Here is a 25,803-nt window from a genome sequence, read left to right as displayed (position 1 = left end):
CCGTTATTTGCGGTTCCAATCAACATCAGTTTACCACCTGGCTCAATTCCCACCATTACTGTATGTTAGATTAACACTTCCAAAAACCCTGCAGAAGGTCTCTAAATTTCCTGGGGGAACTTAGCTACAGACGCGGAGTGAAACAAGCAGCTCTTTTCCCTGGGGCCTCAATGTATTAAATCAAACCCGAGAAAATGATCCAATCATTTCCTATACATTTCCTCCCCAGCTATGCCATCAAATCTCTTAAAACGTCACTTCCAAGCATTTAAAATACACCCGGCACACGCCCTGCAGACTTCATCGTAGCTCTCCCTTTTGGGGCATCACCACAGCCAAACATCGCCTCTTCCAAATCTACTGCAAACTGCGGGCTTGTCTCTTGCTTCATTTTTTACTTTTGTCTTAAAACGGAGGCGAGGGGGATGGGTTTCGACAAACTAGGCTCTGAAACCCTGAGCAATAGCATCTTGCTGTGGGGAGCTATCGGCAGCAGCAGAGATTTTAATCTTTTCTCTCCACCCAGTTTCCGTTTCATGCTTTTTTCTTTCTTTCTTTTCCAATGACATCAAACCAAAGGTGGAAAAATGAAAAACGAATGCCTCAGATCGATGCCGCCTGTGGGTCGCGGGTTCTGACTCAGGGACCCGCCCGCCCTGGGAAATGCGGGAAACGAGGCCGGGAGGAGGACTTTCCACCGCCGGAGTCCCACCTGGGGTCGCAGACGGGCAGGCCGGGCCCGTGGCAGCCTCGAATCCGAGCCCGGGGCCCGACCCGCCCCTCCAGGCCCAGCGCGGCCTGCCAAGCCCCGGCGTCGAGTTGGCCGCGGGCCGGCCAGAGAGGCCTGAGGCGGCCAGCGGGCAGGGCAGAGCCAGGGACCGGAGTTCGGGGCTGGAGTCGGGCGCCGCTTACCTGCTGGTACCGGCTGCCGCAGGCCGGCTCGACCGCCGCCAGCGCCGCCAACGCCAACGCCATGGCGCAGCCGGCAGCAGGGAAGCAGAGCGAGCGAGCGAGCTAGCTGAAGGGGCGCGGCCGCTGCGGCTTGGGAGCGCTGGGAGGCCGAGGGGGACGCGCCTTGGGTGGGTCTCGATGGCCGCCGCCGCTCCCGGGCGAGACGCTCTTCTCAGGCTGTAAGCACCGCCGCCGCCGCCGAGGCTCCGACGCGGCCCCTGGGGAAGAGGCGGGGACTACGACGACGGCGCTGCGCCGCCGCCCCACCCCCGACTCGCGCCGCCCTGCCCGGCCCGGCCCGGCCTAGCCTAGTCCTGCGCCGCCGCCCCGAGGTGCACCGGCCCTGGTGTAGTTGCTCCGACGACCTGAGCCTCCGAGGCTCAAGTGTTGTATTCGATTCCACTAAAAACGAATTACTAACAGGCCAGCCCAAAGCAAGGGCGATGCTGCTGATGAGCACCTCGTGCCAAGCACTGAGCTTCACCTACGTGCCCTCATCCAGCCTTCAGCACAACCGCCCTGACGCAGGGACCACAACCCCATTCTCGAGGTCGTTGGCAACCAGAGAGGTTGACAATCTTCACAGCAGCGACCTGATCCCTCGTGTCTGGCAGCAGAATCGTGGTTCTTATTCACTCCCTTCTTTTATCTGCCGTACTCATAAACCAGGGGTCAGCCAGCGACAGGGAGGGGGCCAAATCCGGTCTGCCACCATGACTGTGAAAAGTACATGAAATTCAAGTTTCAGTGTCCATAAATAAAGTTTTATTGGAACACAGCAGCACCCATTTGTTTGGTATGGCCTGCAAACCCTATAATACTTGCTATCTGACATTTTACAGAAAAAGTTTGCTAACCCTAAATCCTTGAGAACTGCTTGGATCTCAAATCCTACTTAGGGTGGATGATTATAATAGCATCCTCATGTTTATGCCATCCTTTAGTATTTTAACAGCCTCATCTGCGGAATCGGAAACAATATTTTCCAAAAAAGCTCCCTGACTCGGTGACATGAAGTCAAAACTTGAAGGGTTTGGCCATGCTAAAGGCTTTCCCGACCACAGGAACAGGTGCAAAGGGCGGTCCAGAGAGAGATTGTCTTGTGGAAGAACAGAAAGGAGGCTGGCATAGCTGCCATATAGGAGATACAATTATCAGTGTTTCACAGATGAGGAAGTTATGCCCAAAGAAATTAAATATCTCACCCAATGACACAGAGCTACTAAGGGGTGAAGCTGGAATACAACTCCATTAAGCCAGCTTTCTTACCCAGTATTGCACAACTAAATTATAAGCTTTGTGAAGACAAGAGTATTTGTCTTTTAAATCTTATTACCTCCCAATGCCATGTAGCACAGTATAGCTATATAGCAGGCTTGCAAGGTCTGTTTCTTTCACACCCAGCCATCTGCAATTGCTTCTACCCACATGTCCTACAGAGAAAAACAAAATCTTCCATCTCTGAAGCTTGTTGCAATTCCCATTTCTTCTTCATTGCCTTTCCAAGTTGGCAGTGTAGAGGTTATATTAATATGATTATTGTCTTAGCTTCTAATTTTGAAGTTTAGTTAATTATGTATTTTAAAAGAGAACTGTGTTTAGAACACACCCTGAGGTTTCTGTATATATGAGAAAATTGTAATCAATAAAAACTCTAGATGTTTACCATCTTCACTTTGAGTTCTCTCTCAGCATCCAAACTCCTCTATATCTGTCGCTATTTCCAAGTATTAGTCTCACATATTAACATGCTGGGAGAGCGAACAAATGTAGCAACATTCCAAGCTCTCAAGTCTATTTAGAGCCTCCTTACTCTGTCCCTCAGTTGTTGTTTATAATCCAGAAAAACAACATTTAAATGTAATCAGGTACAGTGAATCAAACATAATGTCCTGCCATGTAGTCTTGTATAAAGGGTGCAAAAATCTAATTTGAAATTTTTTAAAATGTCAGCAGTGGAAAGTAGAAATCCAGACTTCTTTGTCCAGATTGTCTACATTTACGTGTAAGAAAGAATAAAAAAGAATGTCCACTGGGCACAGTGGCTCACATCTGTAATCTCAGCACTTTGAGAGCCTGAGACTCGAGGATCACGTGAGCCCAGGAGCCAGGAGTTCGAGACCAACCTGGGCAACATAGTGAGACACAATCTCTGAAAAAAAAAAAGAAAAAGAAAAAAGAATTTGTCGGCCTACCACATAAGGCTATTGGAGCAACAACTGCAATCTTTATGCATGTCTGCAGTGCTGTGGCTTTTGTGGAAAAGATGTTGCTACCCTTCTATTTCTTTCCTAAATTACTTTCTCCCTCAATATCTATATACTCCCTGCATGTGGACACAAATATTTATCATAATATAAATAACAGGCTTTATCATAGAAATATTTTGCATTGAAAGTAAAAGAAAATTGATCTCCAACTTCTAATCTCCTTTTCCTATGTCCTCAACCAAAATGTTTTGTAGTCACGGTAAAGATTTTGGTCTTTTTTTTCTTGAGTTCCCCAAAGCCTCTAATAAGTAAATTGAGATTATTTGCCTTGATTTGATGGGTGGATAAATTGGAGAATTGAGAAATTGAGTCACTGCTATATTAGGCCTCCAGCTGGCAGGCAAATTGTACAACGAAGGGGAAAACTGAATTTCTGGCTCACAGATCCATGCCTGGTGCAAGCCAAGCAGACAGAGAAGATAATCCAAAGCCATAAAAATTGTGCTCTTTGGCTTCATCTCGAGATGTTGTCAAGAGAGTTTCCACAGAGAAAGTTATTAATTTCAGATTGCTGCACTTAGAAACTTATTTCCCCACAGAATAACAGTAATACTTTCCATGTGCAGTACTGCATATGTGAATTGCTGACTCTGAATCATCCCTCCTGAGAGAGAAAAGAAACATGGACAAGTATAAGCATAACTCATGTCCGTATCCCTTTCCCCCTGCAATATAGATACAAATCTCTAGGATAAATGTGACCTTCTGTCTTTCATATCCACATGAGGCTTGACCTAGGTAGTGCAGAGCTCAGTAAGTAACCAAGAAGGGTTTGTTAAATGTGTTAAATTTAGACAAAAGCCTCATTAGTCTAATATCTCATTTGAGGCCTTGAACTTCTCCAGCTAGTCTTCACAGGGCTCCAATTAAACCATGAAGTTTTATTTCTATGACTTACTACTTCTTTTAATTCTCACTACATTACCACAAGGTTCATTAAGAGCAAAAGGTAATATCTTCATATTACAAATAAAGAAATTATCCACTGATAATTACTACTGTTATGGAGCACTTCCAGAATCTTGGACCTGATGGTACATCATCTGCTTAATCTTCATAACAAACCCATTCTGCAGATTCTTGAAGAGACTCAGGAAATTTACATAACCTACTCAGCTTTGTGAGCGGTGGAGTCGAAACGCAAACTGGGATTTGTCTGGCTCCAAAATGTATGCACTGCTTTGGGTGTGGAGAGAAATACGGGACATAAATAGACAGGAGATAGAAAGTTCTAACCTTTGGAGTCTTCATGATGAAATAGAGATGATAGTAAACACTTATTTGAGACATTTTTAAAATATAAAACTTACAAGTTATTTACAACTGTGTTGAGCTATATTAACTAATGCTGAGAGATAGTGAAGAGAATTATGTGGCCAGCTGGGATAATCAGGTAAGGATTGGGAAGAAAGGGTTTTGAACGAGAAAAGGGCTTTGTTGGCCAGGTGTGGTGGCTCACGCCTGTAATCCCAGCACTTTGGGAGGCCGAGGCGGGAGGATCACCTGAGGTTGGGAGTTGGAGACCAGCCTGACCATCATGGAGAAACCCCATCTCTACTAAAAATACAAAAAACTTAGCCGGGCGTGGTGGTACATGCCTGTAATCCCAGCTACTTGGGAGGCTAAGGCAGGAGAATCACTTGAACCTGAGAGGCGGAGGTTGCAGTGAGCCGAGATCGCGCCATTGCACTCCAGCCTGGGCAACAAGAGTGAAACTTCATCTAAAAAAAAAAAACAGAAAGAAATAAAAGGGCTTTGCTGTCATGGGAAGAGAGAAAGTTGTCAACCTGAAATAACAACAGAGAGATTCTCCAAAGACAGTGAGTTTATTTGTGAATCCTCAAGATTGCAATCTGGGATATGTATGCACCTCATGAAGGGCCATGGATGTACCCAGAGAGGGAAAGGAAGGCAAAGGTTTTAAAGGCAAAATGAGCAAGGTTACATAAGTTGTTTTGAAACTATTAACCTTGGCTACAAGGATCAATAACAAGGGTGGTATCACTCCAAGGCTGAACAGACAGTTCCTAGGCAGACGTCTTTGTGTAAAGTTGTGGTGGCCTTGTTCAAGGTTGTGGTTTTCAGAAAGTGTAACCTAAAAATAGATTTTAACGTAGACATGTGTGCATGAGAGCCCCTCCTTTATGGCCTCCCGACTCCTATTTGTCGGGGTATAGAATAAGTGACTCCATTTTGATTCTTACAACTTTCACAAACTCATGAGTATAATTGTACAAAAGCTTAGAACTTAGTTTAGAACAAAATCTTAGAACTTAGCAAACTTTTAATGTTAAGGAATAGATAGAAATATTTTAGGCTTTGTGAACCATAAGCTCTGTTGCAGCTACTCCACTTTGCCATTGTATTGTGAACACAGCCATAAACAATGCCAAAGTGGCAAGACTGTGTTCCAATAAAGTCTTATTTATGATCATTGAAATGTGAATTACGTATGATTTATTTTTTTATTTTTTTTATTTTTGAGATGGAGTCTCACTCTATCGCCCAGGCTGGATGGAGTGCAGTGGCATGTTCTTGGCTTACCACAAACTTCGCCTCCTGGGTTCAAGAGATTCTCCTGCCTTAGCCTCCCGAGTAGCTGGGATTACAGGCACCTGCCACCACGCCCAGCTAATTTTTGTATTTTTAGTAGAGACAGGGTTTCGCTATGTTGGCCAGGCTGGTCTCAAACTCCTGACCTAAAGCAATCCACCCGCCTCAGCCTCCCAAGGAGCTGGGATTACAGGCGTGAGCCACCGTGCCCAGCCTCAACATATGATTTTTATGTGTCATGAAATAGTATTCTTCTTTTGATTTTTTTTTCCAATTAGTTAAAAATGTAAAAACTGGGCTGGGCACGGTGGCTCACGCCTGTAATCCCAGCACTTTGGGAGGCGGAGGTGGGCAGATCACAAGGTCAAGAGATCGAGACCATCCTGGCCAACATGGTGAAACCCCGTCTTTACTAAAAATACAAAAATTAGCTGGGTGTGGTGGCACAAGCCTATAGTCCCAGCTACTCAGAGGCTGAGGCAGGAGAATCGCTTGAACCCGGGAGGCAGAGGTTGTAGTGAGCTGAGATCATGCCACTGCACTTCAGCCTGCCCGACAGAGTGAGACTCTGTTTAAATAAAAAAAAAAAAAAAAAAAAGTAAAAACTGGCCAGGCACAGTGGCTTATGCCCGTAATCCCAGTACTTTGTGAAGCCGAGGCCAGAGGATCACTTGAGGCCAGGAGATTGAGACCAGCCTGGGAAATATAGCAAAACTCTATCTTTCCAAAAATAAATAAATAAATAAATAAGCCATTAGCCAAACATGGTAGCAAACGCTTGTGGTCCCAGCTACTCAGGAGGTTGAGGCAGTAGGATCACTTGAACATAGGAGTTTGAGGCTGCAGTGAGCTGTGATCACGTCACTGCACACCAGCTCTACACAATAGAATTAAAAAAAAAAACAAAAGTAAAAACTCTTCTCAACTCTCAGGTCAAACAAAGACAGGCAGTAGGCTGGACTTGGCTCCTGAGCAGTAGTTTGCCAACCCCTAGTTTAGTAGCAAGACAAAAGAAGTTATTTGCTATGAGATTAAATAGAGAGTTTAAGCCAGAGACTAATGCAGAACACCTACTGGAAAAGGAAAGGAAAGAGAGAGGAAGATAAGAATTTATGAAAGATCCTAAAATATAAACAGGTAAGTGGCTTTTATGAAACAGTGAGTCAGAGGCCAGATGCTTTGGCTCACACCTGTAATCCCAACACTTTGGGAGGCCAAGGCGGATGGATCACCTGAGGCCAGGAGTTCCAGACCAGCCTGGCCAACATGACGAAACCCTGTCTCTACTAAAAATACAAAAATTAACTGGGTGTGGTGGCCCAAGCCTGCAATCCCAGCTACTTGGGAGGCTGAGGCAGGAGAATTGCTTGAACCTGGGAGGCAGAGTTTGCAGCGAGCCCAGATCACGCCACTGCACTCTAGCCTGGGGGATAGAGCAAGACTCCGTCTCAAAAAAAAAAGAAAAGAAAAGGTGAGTCAGAGGAAAGGGGTTCGTCAAATAAGAATCCAACATGGGACTCCTGATTCCTTGGTTTACCTTCCTGACACTGGAATTCCACAGATTCATTTATTCAGCAAATATTAATTTAGCACCACTATAGATAAACACTGTGACTTTATGCCTAGAACCTGAAACTATTTAAAAAATGGTCTCTCATTTATTCTACAAAATGAAATTAAGAAATGCTGAAAGTGGTTATTTATGTATTCTAGCTACATATGCGTAAGCTTCAGTATGTTGTGTCTTTCTTTTTTTGTGTGAGGCAGAGTCTCACTCTGTCACCCAGGCTGCTGGAGTGCAGTGGCACCATCTTGGCTCACTGCAACCTCCGCCTCCTGGGTTCAAGTGATTTTCCTGTCTCAGCCTCCCGAATAGCTGGGATTACAGGCATGTGCCGTCACGCCTGGCTAGTTTTTGTATTTTTAGTAGAGACAGGGTTTCATCATGTTGGTCAGGCTGGTATCAAACTCCTGGCCTCAAACGCCTTGGCCTCCCAAAGTACTGGGATTACAGGCATGAGCCACTGTGCCCAGCCATGTATGTTGTGTCTTTAACTAATTTCATCTCAAAATATTTTCTTTTTTTTCTTTTTTCTTTCTTTTTTTTTTTTGAGAGGGAGTCTCGCTCTGTCACCCAGGCTGGAGTGCAGTGGTGCAGTAATGGCTCACAGTAACCTCTGCCTCCCGGGTTCAAGTGATTCTCCCCCCTCAGCCTCCTGAGTATCTGGGATTACAGGTGTGCACCACCACGCCCAGCTAATTGGTCTTGAACTCCTGACCTCAAGTTATCCACCCACCTCCCCCTCCCAAAGTGCTGGGATTACAGGCATGAGCCACCATGCCCGGCCTCAAAGTATTTTCTAATTTCTCTTGTGATTTCTTCTTTCACCCATTGGTTATTTAAGACTGTGGTTTGATTTCCATATATCTGCAAATCCCCCAAATTTCTGTTATTTATTTCTAATTTTATCCCATTGTATTTGGAGAACATACTTTGCATCATTTCAATCCTTTTAAATTTATTGACGTTTGTTTTATGGCCTAGATTATCAAATCTACCCTGGAGAATGTTCCATGCACGCTAGAGAAGAATATATATTCTGCTGTTGTTGGGTGGAGTGTTTGTTAGGGAAGTTTAAACTTTCCCTCTGAGGGTTCAATAACTGAGTCTGTTGAAATAAATGGACAAAAGATTAACAGGAGAAGAGGCTATTAACTTGCAAGCCAATGGGAGTCACACCAAGTATGAAACTCAAAGAAGGACCTGACAGATGGAGTTTAAATACCCTCTTCACAGGGGAGATGAAGGCAATTTTAGAGGAAGAGTTATCACTCTTCATATGGTTAGGCTTTGCGTCCCCACCCAAATCTCATCTTGAATTCTAATCCCCATGTGTCAAGGGAGAGACCAAGTGGAGGTAATTGATTCTTGGGGGCAGTTTCCTCCAGGCTGTTCTCATGATGGTGAGTGAGATCTCGTGAGATCTGATGGTTTTATAAGGGGCTCTTCCCCCTTTGCTCAGCACTTCTCCTTCCTGCTGCCTTGTGGGGAAGCATTGCCTTGCTTCCCCTTTGCCTTCTGCCATGATTGTAAGTTTCCTGAGGACTTCCCAACCATGCTGAATTGTGTGTCAATTAAGCCTCTTTCTTTTACAAATTACCCAGTCATGGGCAGTTCTTTACAGCCATGTGAAAATGGACTAATACAAAGAATAAGTAATTTTTAGGGGAGATGAATGGGCCCAAAGAAAAGACAATAGCCTGGGACAAAGGTCCTCTGAGCTCTGGGGAAGGTGGTGACAAGTTATGGGAAGGTGAGGGGACAGAACTGCAATGCAAATATTGTCTTAGTATGCAAATAAGGTCTCTCAGGCAATATGATAAGTTTGCTTGGGTGGGTGTAGTGACAACCTTTTGTTTCTTCTTCCTGATTTATCTTCCCTAGGCAATGAGATTTATTTATTTATTTATTTTTATTTTTATTTTTTTGAGATGCAGTTTCAGTCTGTCACCCATGCTGGAGTACAGTGGGATGATCTCGGCTCACTGCAACTTCCGCCTCCCGAGTTCAAGCCATTCTCATGCCTTAGGCTCCCGAGTAGCTGGGATTATAGACGCCCAACACCATGCCTGGTGAATTTTTGTATTATTAGTAGAGATGGCGTTTTGCCCTGTTGGCCAGGCTGGTCTTGAACTCCTGACCTCAAGTGATCCGCCCACCTCAGCCTTCCAAAATGCTGGGATTACAGGCATGAGCCACTGTGCCCCAGCTGGCAATGAGATTTTAAACAGTGGATTAAAGACAATTGTGTTTATTTTGAAAGAACTTCCCTCAATGAGATAAGGGACCTTCAGAGAGAGCCTGTCCCCACCCTTGTGGGGAGAAACAAGAGAAGGTCAGAGAGACACTGATTCTGAGGTCACTTCTAAGGCTTTCAATTTCCTTTAATTCAAAGTGCTCAGTATTCAAATAATACGCCATATTTTGGTGTATTATTTTCTGAGCCCCAACAGTTCTATAGGTATCTATTAGCTTTAGCTGGCTTATAGTATGGTGTAAGACTTCTATTTCCTTGGGAGTCTGAGGCGGGCAGATCATGAGGTCAAGAGTTCGAGACCAGCCTGGCCAAAATGGTGAAACCTCTTCTCTACTAAAAATACAAAAATTAGCCGGGAGTGGTGGCACACATGTGTAGTCCCAGCTACTCGGGAGGCTGAGACAGAAGAATTGCTTGAACCCGGGAGGCAGAGGTTGCAGCGAGCTGAGATCATGCCACTGCACTCCAGCCTGGGCGACAGAGCAATACTCTGTCTCAAAAAAAAAAAAAAAAGACTTCTATCTTTTTATTGATCTTCTACTTAGTTGTTCTCACTGTATTGAAAGCAGTTTGTTGAAGTCTCCAACTACTGCTATTGATTGTCTATTTGTCCCTTCAATTGTGTCAGTTTTGATTTGTGTATTTTGCTGCTCTATTTTTAGGTGTATATATATTTATAATATCCACTTATTTTATGCACTTGATCCTGAAAGGATTTAGGAGGTTACTGTATAGCAAGAAATCACAAATTAGAAGTAGATGAGAAAGAAAAAGCAAAACAAGAGTAGCAACATAAAATAGACTTTGTCTTCTTGTTCACTTTTGTTGCCATGTGAACAGGGCCTGTCCCATAATAGTTCTTCATAGAATTAAAATAACACCAAGAATAAGGTTAACACAAAAATGAATTTATACATTACAAGTGTACCGTAAACTTGGCATCCAATTAAAATGGAGACCTGATTGGTTATACAATTGATAGTGACCCTGAGCTAAATAAAACAAGAGATGATACCAAGAACAATAGAGAAATTCCTTCCAAGGGTTGTCACTAACATTCAATTATAAATATGCCAAACAAACTCCTCCATCCTAAACAGAATATATGCTTTAAGTTTGGGAATTTCCCCTTCCCAGGAGTGATGCTATAGTTAGTCCCCATGGGCTGCCACATCTGATTGTGCAAATTGTGTACTGTCCAACTCCAGGTTATCCATCACATTGCAGTCTATGCAAACAACACCCTCTCCCCAACCACACACTCTGCATTGGGTAATATACAACCTAGGCTCCTATAAGAGTGACTCCATAAAATCTTTAAGTGATTCCTCCTCTGACAAATGGCTTAGTGTTCACTGTATATTTAGGGATTGTAAAAGAACAGAATATGCTACCCCAAAATATACTTCTTTGGCATAAGGATTATTTTGAACCAATTATTTTAGGAAATAGCAGACATGGGAGAATCTCTGAAAACAGAGAAGTTTCCCATTTGAAAGGGAAATTTACATTTATAAAGGAAATCTCCATGTGTAGGGATGTCTTTCTCTGTACTAGGAAGAGAAAGATATTCTAAATCACAAGAAATTCTTATCAGTGGAGAAGGCACCAACTTATATCTGCATAACAAAGCTTACCCTTGTTTACTGTACATTTCCTGGTTGCCTTCTCATAATTTACCTCCACCACACAATTCTTTCACTGATTTAGCTGAAGATGGTATTTAAGCCTGAATTCTAAGCCACCTCTCTGAGAGTTACTCATTTCCCTGACTGCCCAGGTTTATATGAGATATACCTGTTAGTAAACTTCTTTTGTTTTTCTTCTTCTTCTTTTTTTTAAAAAAATATTTCTTTCTCTGTTTTTTGTTTTTTTTTTTTTTTAAGAGATGGAGTTTCGCTATGTTGCCTAGGCTGGTTTCAAATTGCTGGACTTAAGTGATTTACCCACCTTGGCTTTCCAAAGTGCTGAGATTACAGGAATGAGCCAAGATACACGTTAGTAAACTTCTGTTTGTTTTTTCTCTTGTTAATCTGTCTTTTGTTACAGGAGCCCCAGCAGATAACTTAGAAGGGTGGAAGGAAAATTATTTTTTCCTCCCTTACAAGGTGTTGTGGGTGGCCAAGAAATGAGGAACAGCGTAGTGTTCATCTACAAGGAAATGAAGTCTCTGAACCTCATCTTTGGACACAATGTTCCAACCAGTTGTCTTAACCAAGTGCCTTGAAAAGAGAACAAGGTGAGTAGAGAAGGTGCTTCACTTCTCCAAGCTCCCACACTGATTCGTAAGATAAGTCAAGGGGTTCTCACATTTCCTAGGACGGTAGTTTTCTCACTGTATTTAGAGAGTATCAGCAGAAACACGATTGCACACGGGAAATGCTAAAGCTAGGAGCTCTGCAGTGTGTCAGGGGAGACGCATATGTGTTAATTATGACGCAGAAGAGAAGTGACCCTCAGGGGCCCTTAGTGGAAGAAGCCGTGTTGGCTTGCACTCAGCAGCAGCTTGTGGGCATGCACGCTGGTTACTACAAGTCTTCAGGGAGCTCTGCTCAGGTGACTCAGCAGGCCTCAGGCAAAGTACAAGAGAATCTCTAGTTCTAAATAAGATTACACGAGGACCAGAAAATAATACCTGAGTTTTTGTTTTGTTTGTTTTGTTTTGTTTTTAGACAGAGTCTTGCTCTGTTGCCCAGGCTGGAAGTGCAGTGGCACGAGCTTGGCTCGCTGCAACCTCCGCCTCCCAGGTTCAAGCAATTCTCCTGCCTCAGCCTCCCTAGTAGCTGGGATTACAGGCGTGAGCCACCACGCCCAGCTGATTTTTGTATTTTTAGCAGAGACAGGTTTCATCATTTTGGCTAGGCTGGTCTCGAACTCCTGACCTCAGGTGATCCACCTGCCTTGGCCTCCCAAAGTGCTGGAATTAGAGGCGTGAGCCACCATGCCTGGCTGCTGAGTTTTTTTAAGTACAATAGAAATCCTGGCCCAGTTATTCATAACTTCTCCCTAACCTTATCCCCAAGTTGGGACAGTCCTTTGTCACATCTTCAGTAACTAAAACCCACAGAGAGCAGCAAAGACAAGCCCCTCTCCGTGTCAACTTCCTCCCCTGGAGTGAGCACTGTTATGAAAGAATCGGGGTACAAGGTGGCTGGGCGCAGTGGCTCACACCTGTAATCCCACCACTTTGGGAGGCCGAGGTGGGCGGATCACCTGAGGTCAGGTGTTCGAGACCAGCCTGACTAACATGGAGAAACCCCGTCTCTACTAAAAATACAAAATTAGCCAGGCATGGTGGCCCATGCCGGTAATCCCAGCTACTTGGGAGGCTGAGGCAGGAGAATTGCTTGAACCCAGGAGGCGGAGGTTGCAGTGAGCCAAGATCGAGCCATTGCACTCCAGCCTGGGCAACAAGAGCAAAACGCCATCTCAAAAAAAAAAAAAAAGAATCGGGGTACAAGGTAAGACACCACCTGGCAATGAGGCCTTTCCTGAGTTCCTTATGGCAAAACAGGCCACAAAACCTTGGATTTCCATTTCTAGCAGAATAATAGGCCACCTGCTTCATGGCTGAGGGAGGCTGTGTTTTTGGCTCTCGACACACCAAACACCCTCTTGCCTTTACCTGGTGAGCCAGTATCACTTCATCAGCAAGCATGGTCAGATTAGTTTATAGCTGCTCCAGAACACCAGGTTACATTCTCCTTGATGTATTTCACCATAAAAAGTTGTAAGGCACATTTTTTATTGTTCAATGCCCTAACAAGGGGCCTCTGACGTCATGAGTCCCAAGAATGCTGTTTGAATAACACATGACTTGAGCAGTTACTTTAAGTGAGGGACTGTGCCGAACAATTTTATATTTATCATCTTTTTTTATTAAAATAAACACATGAGGTAGTGTCTACTTCTATCTCTGTTCTATGAGTGAAAGAACAGGTCATATGGAGGTTATTTTGTGTTTGTTATTATTATGTTTTATTATTTTTATTTTTTGAGATGGAATCTCACTCTGTCACCCAGGCTGGAGGGCAGTGGCACAATCTTGGCTCACTGCAACCTCCACCTCTTGGGTTCAAGTGATTCTCCTGCCTCAGCCTCCTGAGTAGCTAGGATTACAGGTGTCCACCAGCACACCCAGCTAATTTTTGTAGTTTTAGTAGAGATGGGGTTTCACTATGTTGGCCAAGATGGTCTCGAACTCCTGACCTCAGGTGATCCACCCACCTTGGCCTCCCAAAGTGCACGGATTACTCACCACGCCTGGCCTGTGTGTGTGTTGTTAGAAGATTAGGGCTAAGAGGACTTTATTTGGTTTGAGTCTTCATTTTACAGATGAGGAAACTGAGCTCAAAGGAGTTAAGTCACATGCCCATAATCACGCACCCAGGAAGTGGTTTTAGGGTGGCACACATCATCCAGCTCTCTGTGAGTCTGCGGCCTAGCCTTTCATGATTTGAGGGTTTGTGCCACCCCCAAGTATTCTGTCATCCTGCAACCAAACTATGCTAAAAGGCGGGGCGGGCAACACACTGCATCAGATTGAAGTCAAACTTCGTGCCTCAGAACACACAGAGTCCCTCTAGCCCTTAACAACTTTCTTTTCAGGAAACCTGCCAAGTGCTTGGTTACCTTTTGAGTTCTTCCTGGGTGTCAGGGAACACATCTAAAAATAGATCTGTCCCCAGCTCTCCCAGAAGAGGCTTGTAACTTAAAAATGTCACTCCCTCCTCCCTTCCAAAACACAGACTTCACTGTTCCTTCCTTCCAACCCAGCAGCTGCCTAAGAATATACCTTCCTCTTACCTGAAGACTAGACTTCCTTCTTCAGGAAGGGACAATAGTGTCTCTTGCCAGGAAGGAAAGACCTTTCATATCAGCTTTGACAAAAATTGCTTTCTCTAAAGCAGAATGACTTCAGGGAAAAGGATGTGGGTCTTGTCCTGGTCTTTCACCTCCTAAAGATCGGCAAAATGGGACAATGTATATAAATGTGTTTTATAAATTGCAGATACCAGGAACTATCATGTGTCTCTGCATGTGTTCCCTGATTCTTCAAAATTGCAGTGGGTGGAAGGGAGACTTCTCTAGTGATACCTCTGGTGACACAGATTTTCCGGCCACAGAAACTCGGGGAAGTTTTTCCTGGTGTGGGCTTTCCGTGGGTAACTCCTTGTGTGCTGAGATGACATTAGAATGATTGCAGAGAGCAGGCCTGAAGCTGGGCTGGGCTCACACCAGCTAAAATTGAGTTTGAAGCAAGCCAGCAGAATTGAGGAGACAAAGAAAAAGAGCCTGTTCACCCATGGGAGTCTCTCCCAGTTGATTCTGTACCTTGTTAACCTGGAGTTGGTCTCAACACTAAGAAAAGACGTGTTTGCTAGCTTCTCGCCAGTACCATGCAATGCTTGAGCTCCACTGAACACTTTGTCATGTTAGAAGTGTTTCAGTTATCTTTATTTTATTCATGTATTCACTCCTTCAATAAATAGATATTTAATTCTTACTCCATTGGCAGCTTTCTCTGTTTAAAAGACTCCATTTGCTGTCCACATATAGTGAATATAGTTTGAAGGTAAACAATTGTTTGAATACAAAAAATAAAGATGGGCCCATTTCTATTGTGCTCACTCTCTGCCACCCTCCTTTCCCCCAACCATAAACTAGAGGTCACTTTGGTGATAGTTTCTGTTCCTGGGAATCACTGTGCTCCTGAAAAGCACTATTTTTAGAAGGCCAGAGTACTCTTTTTTTTTTTTTTTTTTTTTTGAGACAGAGTCTCACTCCCATGGTCGAGGCTGGAGTGAGTAGTGAGACACGGCTCACTGCAGCCCCGACTTTCCTGGGCTCATCAGGTGATCCTTCCACCTCAGCCTGCTGAGTAGCTGGGACTACAGGTGCACACCACCATGGCCGATTAATTTTTTGCATTTTTAGTAGAGATGGGGTTTTGCCAAGTTGCCCAGGCTGGTCTCAAACTCCTGGGCTCAAATCATCTGCCCACCTCAGCCTCCCAAAGTGCTGTTATTACAGGCATGAGCCACTGTACCCGGCCTCCTTATATATAAATTTTTTTTGTCCATCTTTGATTATTTCCTTAAAATGGATATCTATAAATGAAATTACTGTTTTTCAGATATAGTACTTTTTTAGATTCTTGATCTACATTGCTAAAGTGCTCTCCAGGGAGATTGTACTGATTAATATTCCCACCAGCAGGGCACACCAGTACTCATTTTTCCACACTCTTACCAACATTGGTTATTGGCAATTTTAAAAAAGTCTTTGCTAATCTGATCGAGTGTGGTGGCTAATGCCTATAATCCCAGCATTTTGGGAGGCCAAGGTGGGAGGATTATTTGAGCTCAGGAGTTTGTGATGAGCCAGGACAACACAGACCCTGTCTCTATTTTAAAGAAAAGAAAGGGGCCGGGTGTAGTGGCTCATGCCTGTAATCCTAGCACTTTGGGAGGCCGAGGAGGGTGGATCACGAAGTCAGGAGATTGAGACCATCCTGGCTAACACAGTGAAACCCGTGTTTTCTACTGAAAATATTTAAAAAATTAGCCAGGCGTGGTGGCGGGCGCCTGTAGTTCCAGCTACTCAGGAGGTTGAGGCAGGAGAATCCCTTTCACCCAGGAGGCAGAGCTTGCAGTGAGCTGAGATCACGCCACTGCACTCTAGCCTGGGTGACAGAGCAAGACTCCGTCTCAAAAAAAATTTAAAAAAAAGAGAAAAAGAAAAGAGAGAAAAATCTTTGCTAATCCAATGCACACGCCTATTTATATCTTTTTATAATTAGTCTTTGATCTATAAGCATTCTCTATATATTAGGAATATTACCCTTTGTTTATTGCAAATATTTTTCACAGCTTATCATTTGTCTTTGAGTCTACTCGGCAGCATTATTTGCCATATTGAAGTTCTTTCGCTTTTTTTTTTTTTTCTTTCTGAGACAAAGTCTCACTCTGTCGCCCAGGCTAGAGTGCAGTGGCACAATCTCAGCTCACTGCAACCTCCACCTCCTGGGTTCAAGCAATTCACCTGCCTCAGCCTCCCAAGTAGCTGGGATTACAGGCATGTGCCACAATGCCTGGCTGATTTTTGTATTTTTAATAAAGACACGGTTTCACCATGTTGGCCAGGCTGGTCTCGAAATCCTGACCTCAAGTGATCCACCCGCCTCAGCCTTCCAAAGTGCTTGAATAACAGGCATGAGCCACCGCACCTGGGAACATTTTTAAAATGTAGTCAAATGTATCCCTCCTTTTTTTTTTTTTTTTTTTCTTTTTTAGGCTTAGGAAGGTCTTCACCCCCAAAATCACAAAAATACTTAGCTCTATTTTCCTTAGTGTTTTTATGGTTTCTTTTTTACACGGACATATCTGATCAAGTAATTTATTTAGGGGTAAGGAAGCTAGTAATCCAGATTTTTTTTTTTTAATGGTTAGCTGGATTCCATACCATTTGTTAAATGACCATTTTAAAAGTCTCCTTTATTTCTGGAATCCCACCTTTTTTCTTTTCTTTCTTTCCTTTTTTTTTTTTTTTTTTTTTTTTTTTTTGAGAAGAAGTCTTGCTTTGTTGCCCAGGCTGGAGTACAGTGACACAATCTCAGCTCACTGCAACCTCTGCCTTCCAGGTTCAAGCGATTCTCCTGCCTCAGCACCCCCACCCCCTCCCAGTAGCTGGGACTACAGGCGCGTGCCACCATGCCCGGCTAATTTTTGTATTTTTAGTAGCAACGCGGTTTCATCATGTTGCCTAGGCTGGTCTCAAACTTCTGACCTCAAGTGATACACCCACCTCAGCCTCCCAAAGTGCTGAGATTACAGGCGTGAGCCACTGTGCTTGGCCCCCCACTTCTTTTTCACTCACCTCTCCATATGTTTATTAGTGTCCTGTTTTTTAGAAGACAATTCACAAAGACTTCAACATACAAACTAGATAACGTAAGGAAATAGAACTGTTCAGGCTACAGATAGTAAGCTGTCCTAATTACCCCTGAAATTATTCAATTTTTTAAAAGCTGAAATTTTTACATATTCTTATATCAGCTTTATTAACATATAATTCGTATACCATACAATTCACTCACTTAAAATATACAATTCAGTGGCTTTAAATATATTCACAGTTGTGTAACCTTCACCACAATCAATTTTAGAACTATTAAAAGACAGCAGGTCCAACATGGTGTCACTCATGCTAAGGTTCTATGCCACCAAACTGAAACCTAAGTTGTTTATTTATAAGATTTGACCTTCTGAGAAACCAGGAGAAAGGCAATGGCCAAATCCCATAAAGCCAACAGGATTTCCTATACACCTCTACAAGGAAAGTAATCTTGAAATGATTAACATACTGTTGGTTCATTGTTTCTTCTTTCCTGCATTTTTTTCTACGTGTGAAATTCACCCATTCTGTGTAGCTTGTGAGAGCTCTTTTCTGTGTTTTACTTTATTTATTTATTTATTGAAACAGGGTCTTTTTTGCCCAGGCTGGAATGCAGTGGCATGATATAGTTCCCTGTAGTCTCAAACTCGTGAGCTCAAGTGATCCTCCAGCTTTAGTGTCCTGAGTAGCCAGGACTATAGATACATGCTGCCATACCTACATGGCTGGCTAATTGTTTTGGTGGCAGTGCGGGGGCGTGGGCTGTTGCTTTGTTTGTTGCTCAGGCTGGTCTTGAACTCTTGGCCTCAAGCAATCCTCCCACCTCAGCCTCCCAAAGCACAGGGAGTATAAGTGTGAGCCACCATGCCCAGCCTTCTTTGTTTTAGACTGGATGCTGCTCAGTTCATGAATTACTAATAAAAGCCAATTAGATCTTTAAAATTAAATTTGTTGAAATTTTGTTCTTTGACGGAACATTTCCATCACCCCACAAAGAACATTTCATATACATGGAATCATACAATATGCAGCCTTTTGTATCTGGCTTCTCTCACTTAGGATGTTTTCAAAATTCATCTACAGTACAGTATATATCCACATTTAATTTCTTTCTTTTTTTAAATTGAGGTAAGGTTCATATACCATGAAATTAATCATTTTAAAGTGTTTAATTCAGTGCCATTTAGCACCTTCATTATGTTGTGCAATCATCACCTCTATCTAATTCCAAAGCATTTTCATCATCCAAAAAACAAAACATATGTTCATTAAGCAGTCACTCCCCATTCCTCCCCTCCAGCCCCTGGCAACCACTAATCTACTTTCTGTCTCTATGTGGGTTTGCATGTTTTGGACATTTCATGTAAACGGGATTACATAGTATGTAACCTTTTGTGACTAGATTCTTTCATTTAGCATGTTTTCCAAGTTCATTCATATTATAGCATGTAGATATACTTCATTTCTTCTTATTGTCAAATATTCTTTTCTATGGATATACCACACTTTGTTTATTCATTCATCAGTTGATGGACATTTTCATCATTTACACTTTTGCCTACTATGAATAATGCTGCTATGAACCTTCTTGTACAAGTTTTTACGTATACTATATACTTCTCTTAAAAATAACTTTATGTTTTGCATAAAATCATATACTTATCTGCAGTATCAGTCCTGTAAGCCATCTTTTCAGGATGATTAAAAAGTTTATTTGCCCACAACCTTCTTTTATTTTTTTGAGACGGAGTCTCATTCTGTCGCCCAGGCTAGATTGCAGTGGCACGATCACGGCTCACTGCAACCTCCATCTCCCGGGTTCAAGTGATTCTCCTGCCTCAGCCTCCTGAGTAGCTGGGATTACAGGCATGCGCCACCATGCCTGGCTAATTTTTTTGTACTTTTAGTAGAGATGGGGTTTCACCACGTTGGCCATGGCTGGTCTTGAACTCCTGACCTCAAGTGATCCACCCACCTCAGCCTCCCAAAATGCTGGGACTACCAGCGTGAGTCACCAAGCCAGGCCACAACCTTGTTTCTTTAAAGCCAAATGTAATTTCATTTGTGAAGGCCTTAATCCTATTAGTCTATGCTAATTTAAACCACCAAGGAGAAAACTAAATTAAGAAATTTAAGCTGGGCATGGTGGCTTACGCCTATAATCCCAGCACTTTGGGAGATTGAGGCAGGAGGATCTTTTGCGTCCAAAAGTTCGAGACCAGCCTGGGCAACATAGTGGGACCCTGTCTCTATAACAAAGAAAAAAAAAAGAAATTTAAGAATTTAGTTAAAACTGTAATCTGGGGGAATTATATCTAGGTGGGTGCTCAGAAGGACCCAATGACGATGGAAGTGATGCTCAAGCAACTCTATTCATGTCTTTCTTTATGTACTAGGGGCAACTCCATTCATTTATTTATGTACTTGAGGTTCAATTTTTAATATTAACATAAACATCTAATAGAGTTTGCCTATGAATCCTGCCATTAACAGGATTGCAACATACGTGGTTCAGTAAAATCAAAGAAGCAAAACACAGGACGAAGTTTTTTAAGGGACCCAGTCCCCCACTAGATTCTAAGTTCTTGAGAGCAAAGATTGCATCTTGTTTGTGGTGGGCACACCAGAAATATTTGTTCAACAAAAAAATAAGGAAAGCTGTGTCCAGAATCAGATTTCCTAGCCTTTGCCCCACCCACTCACTCCCACCCTATTGTTTGCTCTTTCCCCAGACCCCAGTTCCACCTAATTCCAAGGGACAAGATAGAGTCTCAGATCACAATGTATCGAAGGCAGGTGTAGTTGGAAGATGGTATTTATCTTTGTGGGGAAGGAAGGGAGTAGCATCAACAATGGAAAACCAAATGATCTTGTTCCTTCCTGTGCACCTCATTTGCCAGTTTTGGAGAGACAGCAATTTTTTTAATACCTTGAAACACTGGAGTTTGTATTGAGAAACAAAAGAAAAAAGCTCAAAGGTGGCTGTGGAGGTCTCTATCCCTCCTTCCAAGGCTCACTGACCCCTCGATGACCTGTAACTGTAGCTCTGGGAGAAACGAATAAGCAGGCGGTTCAATGCTGCTATTTTAGGCAGTTAGTCGATGTGGGCGGTTAGTCTGGTTAGTCGATGTGGGCGGCAGACACTGGGGTTGGTGTGTTGGGAGAAGGGCTTGAGGGGTGCCTGTATAAACTGGCCATAAAAATATGGGACAATAAGTTGTGGAAAGCCACAAGAGGCCTCTGAGGAGGAAAGCCTAATTGCCATCATGTTCCCATGCTCAGGGCAAGACCCGCTCTCTTATCTGTAAACACTGTGTTCAAGGAGAAAGACACTCCTTTGAAGCATTGGAATGTAGACAGACGTGCAGGCTCCTAGTTAAGCCCGCTCCCACTAGCTACTCTCCGATAAGTTAAAGATACGCAGTTTGAGCACAAAGGAGATTCATTTAAACCGCTATTGCTATAGATTATGCCTATGACGCACTGCCTCCCTTTCACTGTTTCGCACTGAACATCTGCTTCTTAGATCTAAGTGATGGTAATCAATAGTGTGTAGACCAGAGCTCTGGGCCTTTGCAGTCTCTGATTTGCTCTGGCCCCCTGGCTCCCACTTTTATGAACTCTAAACCTGTCTCTTCTCATTCCTTTGTCGCCACTGGACTTCAGGTACCCTACGGGTGGTGTTGAGGCTGGTCCCCAACATTGGTGGAAGAAGCACCTTTATGGACCAGACAGCCATGTACTCGGTCAGCCCCACTGCAGATACGCCGGAAGGAGGTCCAAAAGCCGTTTTCAGGGAGAGGACTCTTTGCCCCTTGTTAGTTAAACCTTGGCAGACATGCTGGGCAGGAATGACATACCCTATGTGTAAGTACCTGGAAAACCCCACGGTGCTCCCACACACTCAACCGGAAGCAGCATTTTCAGATCTGCTCGTGCTGGTTCTTCTGCATTAGTTGATAGTCAGTTTAGATTTCAGATGTCACTGTCCCTGAAGGGCCTCCCCTGGTGCCTCATAAAGGCCAAGAGACCACAAAAGTTGAATGGCCAAGCCAGGCTGGCACGACGCAGTGCCCTAGCTATCTCCTTTTCTGCTGCAGAAGCGCACTACCGGTGACGGGCAGTAGTGAGTGGGAGGGCCACCATCTGAAATGTGCTGCTCCTTTTGATGAGTGGGTACTGTGTTTTTCTCTGCTTTTAGCTCCTATTCTGAAGAAATGATAGTGATTTTCACCCCATCCCCGATCAAACAGGACTGTGACTTACGTTTCCCAGTGTTCATTGCTAATTTCATGCACCATTAAGTTTTGTAGTCTCCCATGTCCATTAGACCTTGCTTCTCCCTCTGGGATGTTGGGACATTGTGGGGAGCATATTGTGATATGTTGGCATGCTGGGGTGGGGGAGGCCACAGCTGACTTGGGAGAACTTGTCCCTTGGTGACACCCACCCACACTGAGCTTGAACTTCAGACAAGGGAAATTGACTCTTACTCCACTCCCCACCCTCACCCCATGGCAGCCTGGCTCACCAACCACAGCGAAGCCGGACTTGGCCTCTTGGTTCTTCTCAACACAGCTCCCCAGTCAGACACCACCAACTGAACTGAATTGGCACTATTTGGTAGTCTAGCCTGACTTATAATAACAATTGAAAAAGAAAAGATAAATCTGTCCTCCAAACTGGATTCAGTTATCACACTATTGCTCGGATCTATTGTATCACTTGGAGCCCTGCGCTTACAGTGCTATTCTGTGAATTTCTTCTAACAACAAGAGTCTATAAGGTGAGAGGGCCCCTTGTTCTTTCAAAGAGAAAGGAAATGTCTCTTAAAGCATCATTTAAACTTAAATTTTAATGTTGTTTAAGCATGGAGAAGTACAGAGAAGAAAACATTTGATGACCCACATTCTTATTGCCCAGCTCACTCCTGACTGTATTAGATAATAATTATGACATTATAATAGTTACACATGCATACGAGTAGAAATTTTAAACATGAAAGCATAACACGACAAGTGCTAACTTCTATTCCTTCCTTCCTAATGATAACAGCTATTGATTATTAATAGTTTTTCATGGGTTCTACCAGAAAAAGTACATGTATGTTTATATTCTTTTCTAAAAGTTACCAAAAAGGGGGAAAAGGGTGAAGCGTACTCTACAATATGTTCTGCAGCTTGGTTTTTTTTCTTCTAACTGAATTATACAACTGGCATTCTTTCCTGATCCACCTCATTCATTCATTCACATGGTCTTCCAGCATATGGATGTGCCATAATCCATAATATGGATGTACCATAACTTAATCAGTACTCTGTTAATGGTAAAACATCTTTTGAAGACTTCAGGGGGCTCATTGACCCACTTGAACTGTTATTCATCAACAAAGGAGGAAGGACACCTATTTCATTCATTCACTCAAAATCCTGCAGCTCTAAAGATTATTCAACTTGGTCCACAACTTCTGGCAAATACAACTACAAAGGAAAGCATCAGCAGAGCTGGGGCTGGGGTGTGGTATGAATAAAGTCATTTGCAATGCACCAGAATAAAGATCCCTTGCAATGATCACGAGCTGTAAGCACTGACAGTCCTAGAAGACTTGGTCATGTGATAGACCAGGTAGCATTGCCCGGAGTAACATGAAGGCAGCATTGCTTCACACAGAGACTTCAAACTAACAGTGTCTCCCAGAAGCCTTACAGCACTGAAAATGCTTCACTGTATTTTATTCATAATGGATATATTCACTATAGATGCTGAGTCTGCTAAGCCAGCTGTGTTTTCCTGTCACCAAGATGCCTTGATGCCATCTTAATATACACATATTTAAAAATTCTCCATGGAAGAACATCTTTACTTTGTCTAACTCTAATTGTGCCAGGGAATTGAAGTAGTCAGTTCAGATAATGCTGAAACTTATTGACTACTTGTTAGTTCTGTGTCCTGGAGCCTGTGATCTAACCATTCTAAGCCTATAAAATGAAGGTAATGATGCCTACCCCATAGGGTTGATGGGATGATTAACTAGGATAATTTATATCTACAGAGAAACATATATGGTGTGCCTCCACTTATGTAGTTAAACAGCTATCTCTGTTTATTTACAAAGAGAGATGTCTGGAAAGATGTTTATCAAAATGTTAAGCTTGGTTTTCTCTGGGTGTGAGATTTCTGAAGATTTTACTTTTTTCTTAGTTCTTTTCCATGTTGATTGGATTTGTTTGTTTTGTTTATACAATGATTAAGAGTGATTTTTACATTTTTTTAAAAAGCCGTTTTCAAAATGAGATAATGTTTATAAGGAAAATCACACATAAGTACTCAATCAACGTTGTTACTGTTAAAAGCTATCAGGAAAAGACCACTCACTCTATACCAGAAAAATCACGATTTAACTATATTTAAGACCCACCAAAGCCCAATTCTTTGGGGTTTTTTTGTTTGTTTGTTTTTAGAGACAGGATCTCACTCTGTCACTCAGGCCGTAGTGCAATGGCATGATCATGGCTCACTGTAACCTCAAACTCCTGGGCTCCACAATCCTCCCACATCAGCCTCTCAAGTAGTTAGGACTATAGGTGCATACCACCATTCACCACACCCTGCTAATTAAAAAAATTTTTTTTTTCCTAGAGACAACGTCTTGGTATATTACCCAAGCTGCTCTTGAACTCCTGGCCTCAAGTGATCCTCCTACCTCGGCTTCCCAAAGTGCTGGTATTACAGCTGTAAGCCAGCATGCCTGGCCCCAATTCTTAAGAATATGGGCTTTGGAATCAGGTAGTCCTGGCTTTGAATTACAGTTCTTAATCTTTGTTTTTCCTCCCTACATCTTTTTTTTTTTTTCTCTCAAGACGGAGTCTCGCTCTGTCACCCAGGCTGGAGGGCAGTGGCGCAAGCTCCGCTCACTGCAACCTCCGCCTCGCAGGTTCAAACGATTCTCCTGCTTCACCCTCCTGAGTACCTGGGATTATAGGCACACAACACCACGCCCAGCTAACTTTTGTATTTTTAGTGGAGATGGGGTTTCAAATGTTGGCCAGGCTGGTCTTGAACTCCTGATCTTGTGATCTGCCCTCCTTGGCCTCCCAAAGTGCTGAGATTACAGGCACGAGCCACCGCGCCCGGTGCTTTTTTTGTTTGTTTGTTTTGTTTTTGAGACAGGGTCTCACTTCGTTACCCAGGCTGGAGTACAGTGGTGTCATCTCGGCTCACTGCAACCTCTGTCCTCTGGGCTCAAGCAATCCTTGAACCTCAGCTTTCCGAGTAGCTGGGACTACAGGTGTGCCTCCACACCTGACAATTTTTTTTGTATTTTTGGTAGAGATGGGGCCTCACCATGTTGCCCAGGTTGGGTCTGAAACTCCTGAGCTCAAGCGATCTGTGCACCTCAGCCTCCCAAAGTACTGGGATTACAGGCAGGAGCCACCATGCCCAGCCACGCTACGTCTTTTTAGATGCTACACTTTGAGGAAAACACTTCACCATTTGTAGCCTTGGTTCTTCCTCTGTAAAATAAAATGCTTTTCTCCTCTATCCAATAACCCAAATCCTACACAGCCTTCAGAACTTTCAGTGTTTCCAGCTGTCCCAAACACTTGGAATTCCTAGAGTACTTGCAAGCCTGGTTACTCTTCAGGGCCCTGGATATAATAACAAAACGTAGTCATGGCCAACACAGCTAATTCTCTATGTAATATCTACTCTTCTCTTTCTCTTTACCAACAGAACTTGAATTTTATGCAGGGCAGCAATGTGCCCAGTTAAAAATACTCAGCCATGTGTGGTGGCTGCTGCCTGCAATCCCAGCTACTAGGGGGTATAAGGCAGGAGGATTGCTTAAGGCCAGGAGTTTAAGACCAGCCCAGCCGACCCCATACCTGAAGTAAATAAAAGTTAAGATACTCACCTTCCAGACTTACTTGCCACTCAGAGTGGCTCAGTTTGACCACTGGGAGGTATATAAGCAGTATGAGGTATGTATTAGTCTGTTTTCACATTGCTGTAAACAACTGCCCAAGCCTGGGTAATTTATAAAGGAAAGAGGCTTAATTGACTCACAGTTCAGCATGGCTGAGGAGGCCTCAGGAAACTTACAATCATGGCAGAAGATGAAGGGGAAGCAAGGCACCTTCACACGGCAGCAGGAAGGAAAGGTGCTGAGTGAAGGGGAAAGAGCCCCTTATAAAACCATCAGATCTTGTGAGGACTTACTGTCGGGAGAACAGCATGGAGAAAACTGATTTTCCCCATGATTCAGTTACCTACACCTGGTCTTTCCCTTGACACCTGGGGATTATGGGGATTAC

At 43.4% G+C, this 25,803-nt stretch overlaps 1 protein-coding gene and 1 long non-coding RNA gene across 2 annotated transcripts in view, besides 6 other annotated features; one reads left to right on the top strand and one right to left on the bottom strand.

Moving 5' to 3' along the window:
* Positions 1-1,171, bottom strand: part of NDFIP1 (Nedd4 family interacting protein 1) — a 45,662-nt gene extending 44,491 nt beyond the window's left edge. The window contains exon 1 of the mRNA NM_030571.4: positions 913-1,171. Within this exon, the coding sequence (NP_085048.1) occupies positions 913-975 (63 nt within the window). The 5' untranslated portion in view covers positions 976-1,171. The remainder of the gene's footprint in view (positions 1-912) is intronic.
* Positions 742-811: a silencer, noted in NCBI's record as "silent region_16470". NCBI's record gives its function as "represses an Ori minimal core promoter by ATAC-STARR-seq in GM12878 lymphoblastoid cells {active_cell/tissue: GM12878}" and the evidence as "EXISTENCE:reporter gene assay evidence [ECO:0000049][PMID:35858748]".
* Positions 882-1,011: a silencer, noted in NCBI's record as "silent region_16469". NCBI's record gives its function as "represses an Ori minimal core promoter by ATAC-STARR-seq in GM12878 lymphoblastoid cells {active_cell/tissue: GM12878}" and the evidence as "EXISTENCE:reporter gene assay evidence [ECO:0000049][PMID:35858748]".
* Positions 882-1,420: a biological region, named in NCBI's record as "H3K27ac hESC enhancer GRCh37_chr5:141488095-141488596".
* Positions 919-1,420: an enhancer, noted in NCBI's record as "H3K27ac hESC enhancer chr5:141488095-141488596 (GRCh37/hg19 assembly coordinates)". NCBI's record gives its function as "activates a minimal SCP1, AML or CMV promoter by ChIP-STARR-seq in naive H9 embryonic stem cells {active_cell/tissue: H9 hESC(naive)}" and the evidence as "EXISTENCE:reporter gene assay evidence [ECO:0000049][PMID:30033119]".
* Positions 1,072-1,341: a silencer, noted in NCBI's record as "silent region_16468". NCBI's record gives its function as "represses an Ori minimal core promoter by ATAC-STARR-seq in GM12878 lymphoblastoid cells {active_cell/tissue: GM12878}" and the evidence as "EXISTENCE:reporter gene assay evidence [ECO:0000049][PMID:35858748]".
* Positions 6,763-21,286, top strand: LOC105378204 (uncharacterized). The gene is made up of 3 exons (XR_944368.3): positions 6,763-6,911; positions 11,642-11,831; positions 21,155-21,286. It is a non-coding gene; the product is annotated as an uncharacterized LOC105378204 (long non-coding RNA).
* Positions 8,559-8,759: a silencer, noted in NCBI's record as "peak5504 fragment used in MPRA reporter construct". NCBI's record gives its function as "represses an SCP1 promoter by STARR-seq MPRAs in K562 erythroleukemia cells {active_cell/tissue: K562}" and the evidence as "EXISTENCE:reporter gene assay evidence [ECO:0000049][PMID:32103011]".
* Positions 21,287-25,803: the final 4,517 nt, after the last annotated feature.

Source organism: Homo sapiens, chromosome 5, assembly GCF_000001405.40.
Source record: "Homo sapiens chromosome 5, GRCh38.p14 Primary Assembly".
Taxonomy (NCBI): domain Eukaryota; kingdom Metazoa; phylum Chordata; class Mammalia; order Primates; family Hominidae; genus Homo; species Homo sapiens.
Note: the sequence above shows the minus strand (reverse complement) of the source record. Positions and strands in the feature narration are given on the sequence as shown.